The sequence below is a fragment of the Homo sapiens genome, chromosome 8 (genome assembly GCF_000001405.40).
Source record: "Homo sapiens chromosome 8, GRCh38.p14 Primary Assembly".
In the NCBI taxonomy this organism is placed as follows: Eukaryota; Metazoa; Chordata; class Mammalia; order Primates; family Hominidae; genus Homo; species Homo sapiens.
The window spans coordinates 97411490-97435758 of record NC_000008.11 but is presented as its reverse complement, the minus strand read 5'-3'; the positions used below and the strand labels follow the sequence as shown (position 1 = coordinate 97435758).

The 24269-nt window shown below is 43.1% G+C and overlaps 1 long non-coding RNA gene across 1 annotated transcript in view; it reads left to right on the top strand.

Annotated features, from left to right (window-relative positions):
- Window positions 1-24269, top strand: part of LOC101927066 (uncharacterized) — a 494634-nt gene that overhangs the window by 10739 nt on the left and 459626 nt on the right. Inside the window, exon 2 of the long non-coding RNA NR_125390.1 lies at window positions 16591-16689. This is a non-coding gene — a long non-coding RNA (uncharacterized LOC101927066). The remainder of the gene's footprint in view (window positions 1-16590; window positions 16690-24269) is intronic.

Sequence of the window (24269 nt, the reverse complement as noted above, 5' to 3'; positions counted from 1 at the left end):
TACCAAATTGTTACTATTATCGTATTTTAAAAACATACCAATTAAAAATTGTAGAAGTTTATGTCCTTTCTTATGAGTACTACATAAATAATGGCCTTGATTTTGGGATTTTGGCTTGCAAAGCCTAAAATATTTATGATCTGGTTCCACTCTCCATGGTTCCTTCTGTGTGGAGGATCCTTTCTAGAGGAACACTCCGCTCTCCCTCTGCTCCTGTGTCGTGTGTCACTCTTCTCCAGACGAGGAGTGTTTGACCTGATTGATGAGTCTGGGAGAAGGAGCTTAGCTTTACCTGCCTTTAGTAAAGACGAGATTTCTTTTGTCCTCTGTTATGAGGAAAGCCTGACAGGGTTGGTCTCCAAGGAGGAGCCTGTCATTTTCCAACTGCAGCTGTCACTGGTGAGTAACAACTAAGCCATGGCCTCCGATAGAGCTTTTCATCTGTATTGAGGGTGCTCTCTCCACCTTCAACCTCCAGGTTCCCATGTCTACCTCTGAACTGTTTCAGAACTCCAGTGGGGAATAGGGATGCTGTTTATTAGCCCCTCCAAAGCCAACAGGGTGCACAGAGGCTGCTCCTGGAGGGGCATCTGAGCAGCTGTGCTCATCTCTCCTGCCACTGAGATGCAGAGAATCTGACATAAGAAGGGAGGATGCGATTGGCTCATCAGCAAACACTTGAAAACTAATTGAGTCCATAAACCAAGGCTCTCCCTGAGAAATCAAATTGATACAAGAGAGCAGGAAGGAAGGGAAAAGCAGGAGAGAAGAGGGTCTTAGAAAGAGGGGAGCTGGCCAGACTCGGTGGCTCACACCTGTAATCCCAGCACTTTGGGAGGCCGAGGCGAGCGGATCATGAGGTCCAGAGATGGAGACCATCCTGGCTAACACCGCAAAACCCGGTCTTGACTAAAAATACAAAAAATTAGCCGGGCATGGTGACACGCGCCTGTAGTCCCAGCTACTCGGGAGGTTGAGGCAGGAAAATTGCTTGTATCCGGGAGGCGGAGGTTGCAGTGAGCCGAGATTGTGCCACTGCACTCCAGCCTGGGCAACAGAACAAGACTCCATCTCAAAAAAAAAAAAAAAAAAAAAAAAAAGAGGAGAGCTGAATTAGTAAACCAGGGTAGTCTTAGTGGAATAGCTAAGGGTGTGGCAGTTTTTATGTTCTTCTTTAATCAATTTTCCTTGCTTTCAGCTTCCAGGTTTATGTTTTTCCTCTTCTGTGAGCCCAGACTTTTCCACAACATATACTGGTCAGTTTCATAAACTTTCTTTAAAAGGGGTGGCCGTGAGTGTAATTTTCCATTCTGCTTTCCAGCGCACTCAGCTGCCTTTAGGAGGCTTGACAGGCTGTGGCAGTGTCCAGCTGCAGGGAGTCCTACATCTCTGATGGTGAGTGATGACTCACTTCCTGCTGCCTGACTTGAGAAGCTCCTAAATACACTCCTGGGTCAGGCCCCTGCAGTGTAGCCTTAATCTGCTGCTGACCCAGGATCCAACCCAGCTGTTAGGTGGAGGACCCACATTTCCAATTCTGCAGCAGTGGGAGGCTTTCTGGGTAGCCATCCAGCTGAGATGCTTTGAAGGAGGGATGAGAGGAAAGCTGTGAGTGAGAGGGCAGGAATGTGCAGACAGGGCCAGCATCCCAGAGGGTTTTGTTTATTATACTGGGAACATCTCATAGGCCTTGGGATAATGACTGCTCGAGATTCAGGAATGATTTAGCTTTCCATGCCCCACTCAGGTCAGACTGATTATACTTTAATAGACACAATAAGATAATTCTTAATCCTGGCTGCGCATAATAGCAATCTCCATTAGAAGGCTAATAGGTACCTTGACGTTTAAACATTCAAAATAGAACTCTTGATCTTACCCCTCTCCCACCAAACATGCCCTTTTCCAACCTTCCCCTCTAGTGCGTGACACCATTTGCCACATATGCAGCCTCAATCCTCTGAACGGCTGATATGGTTTGGATGCCTTGTTCCCTCCAAATCTCATGTTGAAATGTGACCTCCATTGTTGAAGGTGGGCCTCCTGGGAGGTGTTTGGGTGATGAGGAAGAGCCCTCATGAATGTCTTGGTGCTGTCCTTGTGGTAAGAGTGAGTTCTCACTCTGAGTTCACTCAAGATCTGGTCTGAAAGAGCCTGCCACCTCCTCCCTTTCTCTCTTGCTCCCACTCTTGCTATGTGATACACCTGCTCCCTCTTTGCCTTTTGCTATGATTACAAGACTTCTGGGGCCCTCACCAGAAGCAGATGCTGGCACCACACTTCTTGTACAGTCTGCAGAACGGTGAGTCAAATAAACTTCTTTTCTTTTCTTTTTTTGAGATGGAGTTTTGCTCTCGTTGCCCAGGCTGGAGTGCAATGGCATGATCTCAGCTCGCTGCAACCTCTGCCTCCTGGGTTCAAGTGATTCTCCTGCCTCAGCCTCCCGAGTAGCTGAGATTACAGGCACCTGACACCACACTCAGCTATTTTTTTTATATTTTTAGTAAAGCTGGGGTTTCACCATGTTGGCCAGGCTGGTCTCGAACTCCCGACCTCAGATGATCCCCCCCACCTTGGCCTCCCAAAGTGCTAGGATTACAGGCATGAGCCACCGCACCCGGCCGATAAACTTATTTTCTTTATAAATTACCCAGTCCCAGGAATTCCTTTATAGCAACATAGAACGGACTAACGCAACATTCTATGCCCATGAGCTATCCATCATCAAGCCCTGTAATCCTCCCTTGAAAATATACCCCCAATTCTATCACTCCTCACCATCTCCATGGCTTCTACCTAGTCAAGTTCCCTCCATTCATCATCTGGACTATTGTGGAACCTCCTAACTCATTTTCCTGCTTCTACTTTTGTCATTTTAAGGGTAAATCATGTCAAACATCTCTCTTGGTGACTAGACTCACTCTCAATGGCTTAAATTGCAGTCAGAATAAAATCCAAATTTCTTATGAGAACTTGCAAGGCCCCAAATACACGGGCCTTTCCTTACTTACCTCTCTGATGATTTTTCTACTATTTTCTCCACACCATGATCCTCCAGCCACAATGTCCTTTTCTCTGTTTCTTGAACTTCCAAACTCATTGCCACCTCAGGTATGATGCTCCCTATATTTGGAAGTCTCTTCCCCAGATCTTTGCTTACCTAGCTCCTTCACATCCTTCTGGAATCAGCAAAAATATCATCTCCTTAGAACAACCTTCCTTTATCAGCATCCTTCCCCATGCCCTGTTATTCACCATCCCACTTAATGTGTTCTGTTTTCCTCATCACTCTATCTGAAATCATTTTTATTTGTTTCTGTGTTTATTCTATGCCTCCTTTTGCTAGAATGAAAGGCAAAGATTTTGTCATTTTCATTACATGGTGTCTGGAACAGTGAGCCTGGATATAATAGATGCTTATTAAAGTTTTATGGAATGGCCGGACGCAGACGTGGTGGCTCACACCTGTAATCCCAGCACATTGTGGGGCCAAGACGGGAGGACCGCTTGAGGCCAGGAGTTCAAGACCAGCGTGGTCAGCATAGTGAGACCCTATCTCATTAAAAACAATTTATGGAATGGATGAATGATTATTAGCTGTTGTCTAACAAGCTTGTATTATGCACCTGGCACTAAGCTAGGTGTGCATCTCCACTATTGGGCAAGCATCAGGGGATCCAGACCCACCTAGTGGTACCTCCAGCTACACGAGTTCCTTGTATGGATAGGATGTTTGAACTCACCATGAGGCCAGTGTCAGTTTGAAGGCAAAGGGCACTTAGATAAAAGATTTGAATCTGTACAATTATAACACAGCTTCCCCAACTGTTGATGACACCCCATTGTTGACAAAATAAAAGTAGACTTCTCCACCAGATTGCCATCACTCTTTGCAGACTGGCCACAGTCTCTTCTGCAACCACTCCCTCCTTGTCCCTGCACCCCATCTCTAACCACGCCAGACTTCCCCGAACATACCATCAATCTTCCTCCACTTATGCTGTTTCCCTGATCTCAAGGATTCCTTCTCCATTTCCCCACCTCATGAAATCATAGACTCATCCTTTCAGAGCTACCTCAAATGTCACCTCCCTTATAAAAACTCCTTTGCTTTTTTCCCTCCGTAGTCAAAATTAATCACTTTTGTAAGCTATTCCAACACTTTGTTCATCCTGCTGGTGTAACATGACAGTACATTACAACCCGTTAGAGCTCTTATTTTGCATCTATCTCCCATAGTGCCTAGCAGAGGACTTGGCATAGAGTATTGTGTTAGTTTGCTAGGGCTGTGATAACTATGTGGCTTAAAAAACAGAAATTTTTGTCTCACTGTTTCTGGAGGCTAGAAGGCTGAGATCGAGGTGTCGGCAGGGCTGGTTCCTCTGGAGGACCATTAGACGGAATCTGTCCTGCTCCCCTTTCCTGGCTTCTGGTAGTTTGCTGCAACCTTTGGCATCGTCGGCTTGTGGAAATATCACCTCAATTTCCGCCTTTATCTCCACGTGGTGCTCTCCCTGTGTTTGTGTCTGTCTCTGTTCAAATGTTTCCTTTTTATAAGGACCAGGCCGGGTGCGGTGGCTCACGCCTGTAATCCCAGCACTTTGGGGGGCCGAGGTGGGTGGATCATCTGAGATCAGGAGTTGGAGACCAGCCTGGCCAACACAGCGAAACCCTGTCTATACTAAAAATACAAAAAAATTAGCCTAGCGTGGTGGTGGGTGCCTGTAATCCCAGCTACTTGGGAGGCTGAGGCAGGAGAATCGCTTGAACCCAGGGGGTGGAGGTTGCAGTGAATCGAGATCACGCCATTCCATTGCAATCCAGCCTGGACAACAAGAGCGAAACTCTGACTCAATATCTATATCTATATCTATATCTATATCTATATCTATATCTATATCTATATCTATATCTATATATCTATATCTATATATCAATATATCTGTCTATCTATATCTATATATATATCAATATATATCTATATATGATTATCTCTGTATGTATGTATGTATGTATCTATCTATCTATCTATCTATCTATCTATCTATCTATCTATCGACACCAGTCATGGATTAGGGCCTGCCATAATAACTCCATTTTAACTTGATTACCTCAATAAAGACCCTATCTCCAAATAAGGGCACATTCTAAGGGTACTGGGAGGTTAACACACCAATATATCTTTTGTTTGGGGGCACAGTTCAAATGATAATGACTATTTTCCCAAAAAGGATTCATTAATGAGTCGATATGAAGTGGAGTCCTTTTGGGAAGAAAAGCATCCATCTGTCTTCTGTCTTCTTCTCTGGGTTGCATTTCCTGAGGGCAAGACCTGTGTCTCCTGAAGAATAGTGGTACAGTATGTAGTTGCTCAGTAAGTGAACAATTGACTGTAAATACTTATTCAGATACCACTTTTCTTCAAGAGAAACCTGGCATGGCAGGGAAGCGCCAAAGGCTCTATAAGGATGGAATTCACGTGGCGGTAAGTAAGTTCATGCAAAGCAATCTCATGTTTTGTGTCGCATTTCTCAGCATAGTGACAGTAAGATAAATTATGTTTTGAATCCAATGAAAACACCTACATCAGTCAGGTATTGGGGCCAGGCAAAGGTAATAATAGCTAACATACATTCTCTCAGTTAACTCTCATGAGAGCCCTCTGAGGTAGTTACAAATATCAGTCCCATTTTATTAGGTAAAGAAGCAAGATAGGTACGAGAGAGAGATATTGGGTGGCCCAAGGTCACACAGCTGGTTGGTGGTGGAGCCAGGATTTGGCTCAGTTCTGATACCAAAGCCAATGTTCTTTTTTTTTTTAATTATACTTTAAGTTCTAGGGTACATGTGCACAACGTGCAGGTTTGTTACATATGTATACATGTGCCATGCTGGTGTGCTGCACCCATTAACTCGTCATTTACATTAGGTATATCTCCTAATGCTATCCCTCCCCCCTTCCCCCAACCCGTGACAGGTCCTGGTGTGTGATGTTCCCCATCCTGTGTCCAAGTGTTCTCATTGTTCAATTCCCACCTATAAGTGAGAACATCCAGTGTTTGGTTTTCTGTCCTTGAGATAGTTTGCTGAGAATGGTGGTTTCCAGCTTCTTCCATGTCCTTACAAAGGACATGAACTCATTCTTTTTTATGGCTGCATAGTATTCCATGATGTATATGTGCCACATTTTCTTAATCCAGTCTATCATTGATGGACATTTGGGTTGGTTCCAAGTCTTTGCTATTGTGAATAGTGCCGCAATAAACATACGTGTTCATGTGTCTTTATAGCAGCATGATTTATAATCCTTTGGGTATATACCCAGTAATGGGATGGCTGGGTCAAATGGTATTTCTAGTTCTAGATCCTTGAGGAATTGCCACACTGTCTTCCACACTGGTTGAACTAGTGTGGTTGAACTTTTACACCAACAGTGTAAAAGTGTTCCTATTTCTCCACATCCTCTCCAGCACCTGTTGTTTCCTGACTTTTTAATGATCACCATTCTAACTGGTGTGAGATGGTATCTCATTGTGGTTTTGATTTGCATTTCTCTGATGGCCAGTGATGGTGAGCATTTTTTCATGTGTTTTTTGGCTGCATAAATGTCTTCTTTTGAGAAGTGTCTTTTCATATCCTTCGCCCACTTTTTGATGGGGTTGTTTGATTTTTTCTTGTAAATTTGTTTAAGTTCTTTATAGATTCTGGATATTAGCCCTTTGTCAGATGAGTAGATTGTAAAAACTTTCTCCCATTCTGTAGGTTGCCTGTTCACTCTGGTGGTAGATTCTTTTGCTGTGAAGAAGCTCTTTAGTTTAATTAGATCCCATTTGTCAATTTTAAGCCAATGTTCTTAGTTCCCATTATACTCTGCCTTTCTGCTTCTATTATGAGCTAGGTTTTGGGAACCTGGGCTCACAAGTTGGAATACGCTTTGAAGGTCATCTCAATACCCTCTTCAATGCAGGAGACCCTACTCTAACCTCCAGAACCAATGGTAAGCCTGCAGTATTTTCAGGCTTTAATTTTACTTTCTATAAAATGAAGAAGTTGGGCTCTATAGCTCTTACCAACTTAATAACTCTGTGATCATGCAAAAATCCCAGGAAATGCATTCCTCCAAGAGGTGTGGTTGCAAATTCTAATTATAAGAAAAAGTCTTTCTTATAGTGAATCAATATGTATCCCCCTGCAGCTTCTATCCTTTTCTCCTTGTTTGGCCCCTCTGAAGCAACAGAGAGAATAGTCTACTCCATCCATATGACAGCTGTTTATAGACAATAGCCTTTCTTCTTTTGACACCATCTCCAAACATTTTCCCACATTGATTTTCTTCCTCTGGGCAAACTCCATGTTGTCAAATAAATATATCTTAAAAAAAATGAACTAGAAGGTCTGAAAAAATTGAGTAGCTTAGTGTCTGCTACATGCAAAATCAAAGCAGTGGACTCCATTCTTTCTCCTGTTTGGATGCTGTTTCTTCTGCAGAGCATCATGGAGGGAAATGAAGCTAGCCGATTATACTAGGGCTGTGGGAAGAGTGAGTCAACCACAGGTGTTTTGGCATGCAGGAGCTCTGCCATTTTTCAGGTGCTTGCTGGAGCTCAGTCCACCAGAACTTTTCAAACCCACTGCAATGGACTGAATGTATGTGTCCTGCTGCCAAATCCTATGTTGGAATCCTAATCCCCAGTGTGATGGTTTTAGGAGATGGGGCCTTTGGGAAGTAATTAGATTATGAGGGTGAAGCACTCATGAATGGGATTAGCACCCTTATGAGGACCTCTTTTTATAAAACAGACCATTTTCAAGCTGGAAGAGATCCCTCACCAGAACCCTGCCATGCTGGCATCCTGATCTCAGACTTCCAGCCTCCAGAACTGTGAGAAATATATTTATGTTGTTTATAAGCTACCCAGTCTATGGCACTTTGTTATAGCAGCTGGAACAGACCAAGACACCCGGCTACTTCCTCATCCATTTCTAGCATTGACTCAGGCTTGCTTATAGGTTCACCTTTATCTCATCACTTATTTAGTTAAGTCCCAATCATTGTATTTCTTTAGAATGTCTGAGGTGGGGGAGGTGTTTGCCTTCCTACTGCCACCTCTCCTGGCCCGTCCCTGATACAGAGGTGCCTGGCTTTCCACTGCAGGCCCCATCCTCTCCCATTCCTATCCACCCCATTTACTGTTGGCAGAGTAATTCTTCTGCAACATAGCCTCCTCTTGCAACTCCTTAATCACCTGCCACCTTCTTTCTCTGCCCGTTGGCCTATGGCTAGGGCCTCTGTCCAACAGAGCCACCTTCCCAGTGGACTCCACACTTACAGGTCTCATCTCAGTCTCTGTCACGATGAGAATGACTCCTTTTTCTTAGTTTATATCTAAAGAACTGACACAGAGAATTTCCTAAAAAAAAGTTTGTTATTAAATTAATATGAACTCTTCCTTTTGTGAGCAGTAAATACCCATCTGGTTCCTGACACTGAGGGAAGGACTTATTTGTGTTCTTCTCCAGAAGTCAAAAGGACCAAGTCTGGCTGGACTGCTCTGGTTTTGAACACAATTCCCTTGCTCATTAAAACATTTTGAGATGTTTGAGTTTGTAATTAAAGAAAACACCTCCTCCCAAATTAATCCCAAAGAAATTCATCCAATTTTAGCAACTCAGAGGAAGATATTATGGATCCTAACATCTGACAAAAACCAATTCCAGATGGTGAGAATGAAAGAATATTAAAAGTAAAAAAGCCTGGTAATTAAATGGACAAGTGGATGACATGATGGCTTTGGGTTTCTGGATGAGTCCCAGATGGAGGATAAGGATCCACTCCAGCTGTGTAGCAGGACGCGGTATCCCCAGGAATGACACTTAGAGTTTCCACTTATCTGCAAGTCAGTTCTGTGAGAAAGATATTAGATTCACTTCTCTTTCCAATAGCAGATGTGTTTTTAAAATGACTTTGGTTGGGTCCAGTTCCTTATTTTCTCACTGAGAGTTTATTCCACAATGATATCCCATGAGTGCCAGGAGCATCGGAGATTAGGACTTCCAAAAGCATACTCCTGAATCACTTCCTGCCATTGCAAGCCATTCTCAAGGCCTGGGCCCCGGGTCCCCTTTTTGGGGCCCAGCTTGGAAAGGAGTGAAGGCTTACAGCTGGGGACCATGGACAACAACTTAGTCCATAAGGCCATGGATTTCCTGGAAGTAAGAGTGTTGGCTTGTGCTTCTCAGCACTTCAGGCAGCACTGCACCCTCTCTTTTCCTTCTATGGATGACAGACATTCCCATCTCTTGCAAAAACTTTAGCAAGCTCTTGAGGGTAAGGGTGAAGCTTGGCGTAGATGGATGACATAGAGAAACTGCTACAGGAAGCGCCATCTCATCTGAATGGTATTTTGGGCTTGAACAAAGCATAACTGTTAAGACTTTTAATTACCAAAACAAAGTCTTAAATACAGATGCTGAATAAGTGGGATCAGAGGGTCATGCAAGGACCATTACAGAGAGTGATTTCAGTGGAGTGTTTGTAATTCATAGATTCATCTGATGAACAGTTATTAAGACTCACATATGCCAGGCATGTGGCTTAGTGCTGGAAATATGCAAATGGGAAGAATTCAGTAATTGTTGAATTGCATGTGTGCGTGCATACACACACGCACACAGCATTCCCATTCACATAATCTTCTTTCAACACCTGGAGATTGTTGGTGTGAAGCACCAGCTGTAGCTGCTTGCATTTGCTTTGGATACCTGATTTCCCATTTACTTTTTACCCCTGATTTAATTTGATGTTGCCATTACGTAAGAGAAGCTTAGATGTTGGGAGAGAGGTGGAAAGAGGAATATGTATTTGGTGTAAGACGTTTGTGTGCACATCTGAGCTGTTGATTTAATGAGATGACATCCAGGTCTGCAAATTGAATGAGAAAGGGGAGAGAAGGGATTTACACACTGGCTGGATAATTACAGATTTGTTTAACTGTCACTAGGATTCCATTTCATGGTTTTGTTTTTATCATTAAAATTATTTCACCACTGGGTTAAAACCTTATATCTTAAGTGTCACCCAGAAGCATAGTTTTGTGATTGAGTTCTTCTGGAAAGCTTTTGAAACATAAGGTTTACCAAAGAAATAATAAAATATGGGCACAATAAATACAGGGTGCAAAGTCAAGGTGGTTGATTAACGTGTAAAGATTATTGAAGTGTGCAGTGAAATATGGGGTAATCTGGTAGACATGGTTTATTGGTAAAAATTTTAAAACACAGGGTATTTTAAAATAAATAAAACCCAACTTTGACTGGTGTATGCACTTTCAGTAACAGAATACATAATCTTGAAAAAATATTGGAGTCCCTTTTGAGGTACAATGGTTTAGCACCGATTTTTCATTTGAAATTAGTGTTTACTCTCAGCCGGAGAAAACTCCCAGATGTGTTTTTCATTAGGCCATGCATTTAATTAGAAGTCATAATTATAGAGCACTTTGCAATGTGCAATGTGTTATTCCTCATAGATGAACCTATACTAATATTAATAACTATCATTCGTTAAGGGTTTGTCTTGTACCTGGCCCTGTGGTAAGCACTTCACGAACTCATTTAATTCTCAGAAAACCCCTGTGGCTATTTTTATGTGCATTTTACAAATTAGAAGCCTGCTACCAAGTGAAGTTAATAAGTACCTTGCCCAGGGTTATGGAGAGGCAGAGCTGGAATCTCTGCCTCTTGGTCTGTTCTGTCTGACTCCAAAGCATAAGCCCTTAATCACTGCACTGACCCTGGATGTATTTGAGTAGGGAACTGTTTGTACAGGGCTCCATCTGCTTAGCTTTGTCCTGCATATTAACAGGGTGTGTGGTTGGAAAGAATGCCTGGGCACTTTGTCTTCTCTAGCAACCAGCACCTCAGTTTCGTGCTCTGTAAAATGGGGATTATAATTCCTATTACTTACAGGGTTGTTGTGAGTTTCAATGAGATAACACATGTGAAAAACGTTATAACTTGGAAGGAGTCATGTAAATATAAATACCAATTATGTTAATTTTACTATGACAATATTTATCTGTCAATCCTCACAAATTCTGTGGATATAGTTACTCCTGTATTGGAGGCAGAGTGTCTAGCTGGCTTTTTAAAGTTTAAAAAACAGAAATGTGCTTAGGAGTAAAATCCTTTTGCTAATCCTCCACTTTCCCCCTGCAGATCAAATGGGAATACCCATGTCTCCCTGGAGATGGAGAGGTTTGTTTAACTGAAAAATGACTTGGCTTCTGAAAAGTGTTCTTTCCTTCTGCATAAATATTTAAAAGCTCTATTGTCATTGGAAGAACTTTCTTTGCACGTTCACCACTGCATCCACTCCCATATTTTTCCTTTCCATTCTTGTTTCCCCCTAGTAACCCCAAAGCTTTTAAAGAGAAACTTTGGGATTTTTTTTTCCTAAAAGGGATATTTATTTTATTCCAAAATGTCAGATGAGTCACTGCAGTTGGAAGAGGGCCATTTAAGATAGTGGATGCTGAACTGCTGAATAAATAATAGTTGACATGCCCAGAGCAATTTCTCTTAGCATGTGTAGACCTAAGAAGAGCCTTCGTTCAAAGACAGAGTTGCTCAGGCTTTCATGGTTCAGAAGCAGCAGATAAGGTATAAAGTACATATACTCGGAACCAATCCACTATATGAAAGAACCATCTGGAGAAGTTTCTGAAAATTCATTTCCACTTAGTAAATATTTGCTGAGGGCCAAACACACAGAAAGAGCTATGTTAGGGACTAAAGGGGTACAAACATGAGTAAGATGCAGAGCTTGTTTGCAAGATGTTTTTATATTATTGGGAAGGAAAAGAATACAAGTAAGCACAGCATAAGCAGAATAACACACATGTCTAACAACGATACAACGTGTTGGATTAAGAAGGGGGGCTAGATCACCTCCTGTTGGGGAAAAGAAAAGAGACTTCATGAAGAAGTTGGGACACTGGGAACAAACAGTGGTCCAGCTTGGCTAGAGAGTTGGGTGACTGTAGGAAAATAATGCAAAATAGGATGAAAAGATGAGTCATTCAGGTGACATTGCAGGCAGTCTTCAATATTAGGTCCATGAAGGAGACTCAATGAGGAGCTGGTCGCTGGAATTATCCCATTTTTCACATCTACTGCAGGTACTTATGTAGGGTTATAATAAACCTACATCTTTTGTGGGGTACCTTGGGTGGATTTCTTGTACAAAATGAGCATGACTAAAGCTAACCTCCTTCCTTTGTTATTTTTCCCTCCGTTTATTATATCTGCTCTTCCCCAGGGCTTGATATCAGAGCTGTGGGTGTGTGATAATTGGCTACAGCTATTGATGGCAAAGGGATTCCTTGCTCAGCCCATTTGAAATCTTTTAATCTGGATTGCACAATCCTGTAATGATTGGAATGGATCAGGGCAGGGAGGAGGGTCCTTAAGTTATTGGTTCTCAACCCTGGCTGCATGTTAGAATCACTTAGGAAGGTTTTAAAAATTCTGATCCTTTGGCCCCATCTCAGGATAACTGAATTAGAATCCTTGAAGTTGGGATTAGACATTAGTTTTAATTAGTTTTTAATTTTTAGGAAATTCCTCTGGTGATTCCAATGTACTATGAGAGTTTGGAACCACTGCTTAGATAATTTCTGTCAGGAAACAAAAAAGTACACCTGTCAAATAGCCTAACATTTCCCTTTTTGATATCTTTTTCCTGAAGTCAGGGTAAAACTCAAAGTTTGATTTCTCAGTGTAAGTTCCCATTCAAGCATTATCTATAAGTAACAGCCAGCACCCTTGCTAGAGAGAACAACAGAGATCGCATATTTGCCTAACATAGGAACCAAGGCCGGCTAGTATCAGGATTGTGATTTTTGACAAATTGACCCCTGCCTTTTGTTCTACAACATTGTCTTACAAGACAATGACTTCAGAATCCACAGTGTAACCAGCACTTCCTTCTCTGGACACATAATGTTGATATGGCAAGTGGGATTGCTGATCCCAGCTGTTACAGGAAAGGGGTCCTGATCCACACTAAGAGAGGGTTCCTGGAACTTACACAAGAAAGAATTCAGGGTGAGTCTGCAGTGCAAAGCAAAAGCAAGTTTATTAAGAAAGTAAAGTGGTGAAAGAATAGCTACTGCATAGAGAGAGTACGGTGTTCCCGAAAGTAAGAGGAGGAACACGTCCATTCTAGGTACAATGCTTGTATATATAGGATAAAAAAAGATCATGGGGAGATGTGCTGTGCTACAAGGGTTTGTGATAAAGGATTTATTTTCTTAATTACTATATTTTGCAAGAATCAATATTATCATCTTTACGGCAAAATTAGGAATGCCTTTTCCTGGGTCTGTTTAGTAAACATTATCAATTTGTTCCTTTAACCGTAAACATCTAGAGGCTAAGAATACCTTTCTGGGAATGCAGCCCAGCCAGCCCCAGCCTCATTTTCATAACCCTCACTCAAGATGGAGTCACTTTGTTTTGAACGCCTCTGACACAGCTACTTGAAATAGATTTTTTTCTGCCAAAGAGAGTTTTACTTAGCATCCTTCAAGATAATGTCAGACTCCTTGCATAGGGTTCTTCTGGTTCAAGTCCCTCAAAACAAGAAGTCTGGTTTCTAAGAGCTTTATGTTTTGCCTTGAATTATCTGGATAATTTCTTCAAGCACTTCATTCTGTAAATAGACTTTTCCCTGGGTTAAGAAATCCATATTCAAAAATACGGAGCACCGTATTTTATGTCTATGCTGCTCCCCAGAGTTATAAATTGAAGGGAGTACCCTTCACAAATACCAGCCCAAAGTCAATACCAATCTGGTCCAAAGTCACAGATTGTTTTGACTTCACAGTTGTCACGTGGGAAATTACCTTGATAAACTAGTAGCCTGAAAGTAATTTATCAGGCAAGCTATAGTAGCCTGAAAAGTACATTATCAGGCAAGCTAGAATAAAAACTACACTTCCCAGACTTCCTTGCAGCCAGGTCTGGCTATGTCACTAAGTATGGGCCAATGGGATCATAAGTAGAAATGAAATGTAACATTTCACCAATCTCAGAAGGAAGGAATATATTTTCTCTCTCCCCTTCCTGCTGGCTGGAATGAGGACTTAATGAAAAGTCATCTGGGGTCATGTGGTTGAGGGCAACTTTCATGTGAGAGAGAAATATATTTCTATCTTGTTTATACCAGTGTTATTTTGCATTGCTGTCACACACAACTGAACTCATATTTGAACTCATACACCATCCCTCAGAGTCTTAAGTACCATTACAAAAATATTCGGTAGGCACTTGTCCCCAGGAAGGGAAGTTGGGAAGAAAACTTAATTTGCAACACAATGATTTAATCAACAACATTTTGTTGAAAGTAGCCTGATTTGAGTTTATCATATGGCCAAGGAGAAATGGATCACCCGAAAATCAAATATTCCAGAGGGGTCACTGAACCATAGGTGTGCGCTATGTCAGCCTCTGACATATTGGAAAACTCAGCTAAGTAGAAGAAAGAAACACAGCAGAAACAAACTCCATTCCAATGAGAAGAACAAAATGTTAGCCACACTCTTCCAAAAAGGAGACATCCCCATGTTTCATGCACAATTCACGGGGAATCATTTATTTAAAATAAGTCTATTTGTTCAACCTGTCTCCCACGACAAAAAAAGGTTGCATTTCTGAATTACGTGCATGAGTTGCTTTGCTAAAGTCATAAATTCAAAGGAGAGAGCAAAATGTGAAAGATGTTAAAATCTAGGGAGCACTTTTGGCTGAGACGGTGAGCCCCATACCATTCCTTATCGAGTTCGGCCACCATTTGTCTCTGTATGAGCTCCCTAAGCAATGATACTTCTGGATATCTGTGGAGAGGAGGGGCTCAACTCTATATTTCAAAAGGTTCACTTCATTTTTCCTCAGCCCCAGAGAAGGCAGTCTAGCATATAGCATGTTTAGGAAAGAAACTAATGAGCTGTCAGGAAGGGCAGATTAGAAGCAATTCACTGAGTAGTCAGTATCTTAAGCCATGTTCTTGTCAAGTTGGTGAACTTTTCTGCCTCTCAATTCTTCCTAGGAACTCATGTATTACCTTCAGGGCATTGCATCCTGTCAACCCACTTGGGTCATCTAATGCATTCACACTGGTTCCAGTTTTCTTGGCACATAAGAACTGAAAACACACTTGATGTATGTACATATTTCTTCCTATTGAGCCACCCTTCTTGCCTCGGTTCCAGTGCAGACTCAGACATTTCAAGAGCACAAGGTTTAACAAAACATATGGCACCAAGTTACATGAAATGTGGTGTTTAATTCCACCCAGAACTGTTTTTGGTGATATAGTGTGCAGTTTTAAAATAATATTTTAGCACAAAAAATGTAAATGTTCTTGTAAGTGTCACATCTTTCCCAAGTGCTTTGGTTGATTCATCGTTAAGTGAAAAGCCTTAATTATATTGCTGTTACTCATTAATAGCTGAAGTGCAGGATAAGTGGGGATATTCAGTCTCAGAGCTTTCTGAGTGCTGACTTGATGAGACGACTCATAGACATCGGGGAAAAACATGTCCCACAAGGAGATAGGATGATGGATTTGCTGGTTTATTTGGTGCTATAACCAATATTCAGGAAAGGATGTAGCACTTTTTAGGGAAAGTAATTGCTGAGATTGAAGTGTCATGTTCTTACAGGTCACAGAGTTTCTTTCAGATCTGCCGGGATTCTCTAGGCATTCTCATAGGCTCCTGATATCAGCTTCTCCCTGAAACTGTGAACCTCTATCCAGGATATATTGTTAGGGTCCTTTCCTCTGAAGACTGTAAGGAAAGAGGGGGCTGCAGGTTCTGAGAGGGAAAAATGAGAACCAGTTCGCTGTGAAGGCAAGGAGGACAAGGTCTGAGGGCCAAAGGGAGAATGAATCAAGAGAAAAAGCAACTTAACATATGGGTACACAATAGGCTGGTGGAGGTGAGAGCAATTTGTAGCTCAAGAGCCAGACAAATCACCCCAAGGCAATTGTGGGTACCAGGGCCTACCAGGGAAGGGCCCTAATGGGCAGAGGCAAAAAGCTGAGCTTTGTCCCTTTAGCTAATTTAGTCTCCCTGGGATGGCCTGCTTAGAGTGGATAAGGAGAAGTGGTCCAAAAAGCTCACATTGATTGACAAAGCTAACATTGCCTCATTTAATCCTCACAAATTAGTTTTCAAGGCAGGTATTATTATCTGTACTCTTCCCAGAGAAACTAGGAAGTTAAGTAACTTGACAGAAGTTACTCAGTCAGAAGTGATAAGGTATGGATTCGTTTCTTCATTCATTCATTCATCCATCCTGTAGTTGGGGTCTATAAGTTTACAAGCGATTACTTGTATGTGCAGAGGAATATGTAGGTTCTTTGTTTTCTGTAACTCAGGCCCCCTCACTGATGTTCTGTGGCACAGGGGTGCAATTGAGTTGCAGGGGTGCAGAGACCTTGATGTCCTCTGCCTCTTGGAACCTGGGTAGGGTTGGGAGTCCCTAGCCAGTTGTCTTGACTGCTTTCCTTTATGCTCTATACAGGTATTATCATTTTCCATCTGTGCTACCATGTGAAAAAGGTTGGGAAACTCTACTGGAAACTGACCTCGCTCTTGGGACCCACCCTGCCAGGCAAAAGGGGTATGTACATCCGCTTCCCAGTTGATGAGATGATGACTTCTCTGTCTTTCCCAGTTTAAACTGCCTTTTTCAAGTTAGCTCATTGCCTTCCACAGAAATGCTTGAATTTTCAAAATTTCTTTCCTTCCCCCTTTTTCATTCCGGGCTGGCTCCCAGTGTATGGGCGTGCCGTTCTTCGGCTTGTGTTTTCTAGATCCTTGCTGGCTTTAATGGAAGGGTCTTGGCCTGCTTGACTGAGTATACCAGCTCTGTCCTTCTTGATTTCACTGTTGGTGTCACTGGTCCTGTCTGGCTTTGGGTCCCATGCTGGGATCAGCAGTCGCTGACCTTGGACCTTGCTTTTGTCTCCAGTCTCAAGGTTCCTGCTCTTGATGGGCTTGCCTTCCTCATCTCAGGCCTCCTTAGTCCTCATTCCTCCCTCCACCTCTGTGTCCCCAACCAGGGCACATGGGAACTTCTAGACTGTCTGAATATAGTGCACCAGTCATGAGAAACCACCAGTGCCAGCTCAGGCTGTCTGTCTAGACTTTTCTCTGTATTGCCCCGAGGCGACTGAGTGCAGCCAACTGAGTGCAGCCAACTGAGTCCAGCCAACTGAGTGCAGCCCTGGGCCCTGCACATTGGAGGCCATTCCTTATCTGTTCCTCTGGCTGCACCCCTTCCTTCTAGTGAGGAGTCCACGGGGCCAGGAGTTTGTGCTCTTTTCTTAGACCACCCTTCGGGCAGTCAGGACTCTGAAATTCCTGTGTAAACGTCCCTGAGGCTGCATCCAGAACCTTGCATGCCATCTCCCGGGCTACCACTGTATATCTATCTGGGCCCAAGGATGGCCAGGGAGCAACAGTTTAGTGAGTCTGTGGACATTTGGGTGACCCCCAGTGTGGTGCAGAATGGAGCCAAGAGTGGGAAGAAAACTGGAGTTAGGGCTGGGCATGGTGACTCACGCCTGTAATCCCAGTACTCTGGAAGGCTGAGGTGGTGGATCACTTGAGACCAGGAGTTCAAGACCAGCCTGGCCAACATGGTGAAACCCTGTCTCTACTAAAAATGCAAAAATTAACTGGGCGTGGTGGTGCGTGCCTGTAATCCCAGCTACTCAGGTGGCTGAGGCAGGAGAATCCCTTGAACATGGGAGGCAGAGGTTGCAGTGAGCTGAGATTGCACCACTGCACTCCAGCCTGGGCAACAGAGTGAGATTCTGTCTCAAAAAAGAAAGCAAAACCCAAACAACACTGGAGTTAGGTCAGAAGGTCAGAGAAGGTGACCTCTTTTCCAGGTGCCACATCTGCTCCTCCCTCTGCCAAGGTGCACATCTGCAAGTGTGCCAAACTGGGTGTGATGCTGTGCAGGACCTGGGGCTTCTGGAGAAGCATGCAGCAGCCCCCACCCAACTGTGTCATGAAATCTGGCCGCTGGTCCTGGTGCCCTCTGGTTTTTCCATGTGTGTCTGCATGTTTCTACTACAATCAGCAAGGCCCTCTCCCTGCCCTGGGATTTTTGCCTGGTGGTTTTTGGGTATGGTGATGATAGCAGTGCTGGGAGTGGGGAAGTGACTAAGATGTGTCTGACTTCTTGTTTCTCCTTGTTCTTGTTTTCTCTCTGCACACTAAAAACCTCTCTAATAGAGCTTGAAATTCTTCTTAGAGTGATTTCTAGCTTACTGTGGTTCAAAGTAAAACTCCCCAGACTTCAAAATTTCATTTTTGGTATCTAAAGGAAGTTGTGTGGAATCTTGCTTTCTTCAAAATCTGACATCTAGCAGTTCTGCTGTAGCAATTTGACAAAGCTACAATATCCAAGTACATGATTAGCTGGTTCATTTTATTGAACAAGGTATAGATTTGTTTGGTTGCCTTCAAATTCATGTGTTAAATCACCTGTAAGGCTGGGAGCAGGGACACACACCTGTAATCCCAGCATTTTGGGAGGCCAAGGTGGGGAAATTGTTGAGTTCAGGAGTTCGAGACCAGCCTGGACAACCTGGTGAAACCCAGTCTGTACAAAAAATACAAACATTAGCTCGGTGTGGTGGTGAGTGCCTGTAGTCCCAGTTACTTGGGAGGCTGAGGTGGGAGGATCACTTGATCCTGGGAGGTGGAGGCTGCAGTGAGCTGATATCAAGCCACTGCACTCCAGGCTGGGTGACAGAGCAAGACCCTGTCTCGAAAAAAAAAAAATCACCTGTAGATACTCATCATGTGCAGTGGATCCACATGTGGATTTAGAATGACAGGAAACAACAGCAACAAAAGAAACCCCACAGGTCCTCCTCCATAGATAGTTTGAGAAGCATTGATCAAGAGGACCCATAGCTTAGAGCCCAAAAGCTTATCAAAGACCATCTTTTCTAGATGGTATCTACCACCTCCCTAAAGGGTAGGTACATTGTTCTCCCAAGGCCACTGAATTCATAAGATATGAAAATACTTTCATATACCAATTAATCCAACAACTGTCACTGTGCACTAACTATTTTCTAGTTACTTCTGCTATTTAAACTCAGATCTATGCTATTTCAAAGGCTATGCTTATTCCCCTAAACTGGATCTCCTCTGCATGTCAGGTCTACTGAAATTCCCACGATTTGTCTCACAACTTTGGCTTTATTGATATTTCCTTCTAATCTTCCACTTTTTATTTCCCTTGACCATTTTCTCCCCTGATTGCCTCATCTGTTCTTGATCTAATTGCTGGTTTATTCCCTGGCTTGGTCAGGGTCTGTATGGACCAGGGGCCCTTGGGATGCTGGAGGGCACAAAACACTCATGAGTAGCTAAATCTCCTTTGTTGTTTCTGGGGCCTGTCATGGCACAATCAGCATTGGACTTTGGCTTTCTTTTTTTTTTTATTATTATACTTTAAGTTTTAGGGTACATGTGCACAACGTGCAGGTTTGTTACATATGTATACATGTGCCATGTTGGTGTGCTGCACCCAGTAACTCGTCATTTAACATTAAGTATATCTCCAAATGATATCCCTCCCCCCTCCCCCCACCCCACAACAGGCCCCGGTGTGTGATGTTCCCCTTCCTGTGTCCATGTGTTCTCATTGTTCAATTCCCAACTATGAGTGAGAACATGCGGTGTTTGGTTTTTTGTCCTTGCGATAGTTTGCTGAAAATGATGGTTTCCAGCTTCATCCATGTCCTTATAAAGGACATGAACTCATCATTTTTTATGGCTGCATAGTATTCCATGATGTATATGTGCCACATTTTCTTAACCCAGTCTATCATTGGTGGACATTTGGGTTCCAAGTCTTTGCTATTGTGAATAGTGCCACAATAAACATACGTGTGCATGTGTCCTTATAGCAGCATGATTTATAGTCCTTTGGGTATATACTCAGTAATGGGATGGCTGGGTCAAATGGTATTTCTAGTTCTAGATCTCTGAGGAATCGCCACACTGACTTCCACAATGGTTGAACTAGTTTACAGTCCCACCAACAGTGTAAGTGTTCCTATTTCTCCACATCCTCTCCAGCACCTGTTGTTTCCTGACTTTTTAATGATAGCCATTCTAACTGGTGTGAGATGGTATCTCATTGTGGTTTTGATTTGCGTTTCTCTGATGGCCAGTGATGATGAGCTTTTTTCATGTGTCTTTTGGCTGCATAAATGTCTTCTTTTGAGAAGTGTCTGTTGCTATCCTTTGCCCACTTTTTGATGGGGTTGTTTGTTTTATTGACTTCGGCTTTCTTAAAGGCTGTTGAAGCTGCACTCTAATATTCCAAGTCATTCTAATGATGATAATCCCTATGCTCAGATCACTTGGCTGAGCACCTGGCCCAAAAGCCACTCCAGGCTTAATCCGTACATATCCTTTAGGATCCGGTGCAGGTTTGTGTACTCCAGGAAATATTCCCTAGCCCCTGGATAATTTGGGTGTGGACCCACAGCCCTGTAGTTTAGAGGTAAAAATCTGTAGCACCATAGAATCCCAGACATTCTGTGCTTGCTCAGAGCACAGTGAAGCAGTGGGTCTGACTGTGGTTTCCATCCCAGCAATATCATTCTTTCCTGGAAGCTGTCAGAAATGCAAATTCTCAGCACCAAAACCTGCTGAATCAGAAAGGGTGAAGTTGGAGCCCTGAAATCTGTAACTTAACAAGACCTCCAGGGGATTCTGGTTTTCATTAACATTTGAGAACCACTCTGCCGAGAAATAATCTTACCTGTTAGACTATCAGCTCCCCAAAGTCAGGGATGATAAGCCCGATTGGTCTTTGTGCCCCCAGTATCTAAAAGAGTTCCTGTGTATGTGCCTGGCTTATGACAGATAAAGGTGTGGATTTGCTGCTTTATTGATAATTTTATGACCAGATTCCCATGAAGGCCCCCATTCTGGCTCCCAGTAACAATGCTTTTCCTGTCACCTGGAGAGTGTCTGGGAAAACAATAGCAGAATGAGAATAAAGGACCTCTTTATAATAAGTGTGCCAGCCGAAGCCCAGCAGAAAACTGGTAAAGTCTGGGTTAGATCATGCAGTTTTGGCTCAGAGCCTATATGGGGGATATCTTTTAGTGACCCCCATTTCAGACCGTGGTTCACACTACCCTCTGCCTGTGGTGTGGAGGAAGGACATTTAGGAGAGAAAGAGGCTGCCAGTTGGTCTGCAAACAGGCCCTGGTTTAACCTATCACCAAGTTAAATCTGCATGTAAGGGTGCTGTAGAAAAGGAAGGTGGGGGATGCTGCTCTTCTGGGGCCCTGAGCCATCTTTCCTACCCAGCCACATGGACTCAAAAAGAATGATAGGAAGCTGGGTGCAGTGACTCATGCCTGTAATCCCAGCACTTTGGGAGGCTGAGGTAGGCAGATCACTTGAGGCCAGAAGTTCAAGACCAGCCTGGGCAATAGAGTGAGACCCCATCTTTTTTCTTTCTTTCTTTCTTTCTTTCTTTCTTTCTTTCTTTCTTTCTTTCTTTCTTTCTTTCTTTCTTTCTTTCTTTCTTTCTTTTTCTTTCTTTCTTTCTTTCTCTTTATTTCTTTCTCTCTCTCTTTCTCTCTCTTTCTCTTTCTTTCTTTCTTTCTTTCTCTTTATTTCTTTCTTTCTCTCTCTCTTTCTCTTTCTTTCTTTCTTTCCTATGATAGGAGCAGTGCTGATGAGAATACAAGCTAACACTTGTGGACTATTATGTGCCAGACATTGTTCTAAATGGAGCAGAAACAATGACCCAGGTGCCAGTTTTCCAGATGAGAAAACTGAGGCTCGAGGAATATATTGTCAAGCTCATAAAACTGGTAAGTGGTAGAGCCAGAAGCAGGAGTCTCACTATGTTGCTCGGGCTGGTCTCAAACTCCTGGGTTTAAGTGATCCAACAACCTTGGCCTCCCAAAATGCTGGGATTACAGGCATGAGTCAAGTCAAGTCCCAGCCCAGAGCCTGATCTCATAACTACTTTGCTAAACTGCTTCTCCATAGAGAGAGAAGTACAGAAGGGCCCTAGGGGATGTTTAGGGGCAGGTAGGTGGGAGTGTGGCAGGGACAGAGAAGGACAGGTGGGGACACACACAGTGAGAGAATGACTCCTGGGCCTTGTTGGGCCCCAGAGCCTCCTTGTCTACTCAGCCTCTTGGTCTTGAAGAGAGTGAGGCTGGCTAGTGTGTCCTGCAGGGCCAGGCCCTCCTAGGCTTCATGAGCACATGAAGGCCAGAAGTAGGACCTAACAGAGAGGGGAACAAGGGAGGCTAAGGGCTTCTGCTTTTAAGGCATTGAATGCCCCCTTCCCTCATCCAAATAATAAGCATGGCCCAGTGAATGTCTTCTGGCCGAACTAATCAGGCTAGAAGATCCACCTTCCCTTTGGAGTGTGATGAGGGGAGCTGGGAGGGAGGGAGGTGGGCAGAGGTGGGCATGGCTTGATGGAACCATGCTGCATGGCACCCTATCCTTCCCTAAACCACAGAGAGGTGGGGAAGGGGAGGCAGGAGAGAAGGAAGGCTCTTGGCATAAGGGGTGTCTCAGCATTGGGAGTGGGCTGGGGAGTGAAGCCTATGCCTGAGTCAATCGGGAAGTAAATTGAGAAGAAAAGATAGAAAAGGGGTTCTTTACCCAATTCACATTTGGGCAGCCTCAGAACTTCCTTTAAAAAGGGAGATGACAGTGAATTGGGTAGAGATGATAAATCAACAAACAAGAAAGTTAAGCCATCATCACTGTTTTTTTGCAAAGGTTTTTCAATATTGTAAAAACTTTTTTTTTCTTTTCAATAAAACCACCAGCTTTGGAGTTTCTCTTTGCGTTAAAGGTACATCATTTTTCCTGGAGTGATTAATTGAAAAAGAATTAACTTAGTTCACTTACCGATGTCCCATCTGAAATAAGGGAGGTTATAGAAAACAGAGTTGGCTTATGATATATATATTTCCCCCTAAACCAAGCATCTCAAAGATACTGAAATTGACAGAGATTCTTCTTCTTATGTTACAAATGAGGAAACAGACTCAAGGAGACTGAGCGCCTGCCCATGGGTGATCAGTCAGCTGTCAGAGGCAGGATTAGGTCTCAGTTCTCTTCTTGCTGTTCTGGCCAGTGTGCACGATCTTGGGTATTCATGCAGCACAATTTTCACGTGTGCTTTCAAGGCAAGTGACCTGTTTCTAAGTAGGCTCATCACAGAGAGGCTTTTAATGGATTTACCTCATTTTTAAAGGGAAGAGTTCATTTCTTCTCCTCCCAAGATACATATGATGGATGAAATTATTGTCTCATCAGCTTAATTATCTTTTCACTTCGGAGTACAGGGAACTAGCCACACAGGCTTTCACTGAAAAAAAAAGAAAGCCTTGCAGTGGTGAGGACCTCTCACTATCCCTGGAGGGGGCGCAATGCAGCCCTGCAGAAGTGGCATTTACAGGTTGCCAATTTCCATTGTAACTCTGGGAGTCCAGACTGTACACTCATAGAAACATCCCATAGATATGGCAGCTGTATTAATTCAGGGAGCCTGTGTTTTCTTCATCACTTCTTCACAAACTGTATGAAGCACAGGAAAGCCTATTTTGGGTTTAGTGACTGAATGGCAACCAGGACAAGGTAAACCAGATTAAATGGGACTTATTTGAAGGGAGAGAAAATGGAAGCAGGAACTCCTATTCATTCATAGAAGTAAATGATGAAAAATCAGTAGCAGTCCTCATGTTAGATGGGCAGGCCCTAGACTGGGAACAGAACTAGCTTTAGGGAGTGGCGGGGTAGGGAGCTTCCCAGATGTCAATCTGTAAACCCTCCTAGAAATATAGTACAGACTAACTCAGGTTTCCATGTGATGACTTCCATACTGGCCAAATGTAAATCGATTCTGCTCCCACTAAAGTAGGTCCTGCTGTACAGTAGAAATTAAAGATTTGCCCTTGACTGCCATCTTTGAGTATCTTTCAACATGCATGTATGTACAAGTTACATGTTCTGTCTGTTCCATTAACCCTGAGACCAGCTCTTGTTGACAGTTGTGAGAAGCTGGTGTTTGCAACTTATTTTGAAATTCAATAATATATGACATGCTACTGTTTAGTGGGTCTCAGTAATTTATTTTAGAGGGATTTATTGTCTACATCTTTACATTGTTCAATT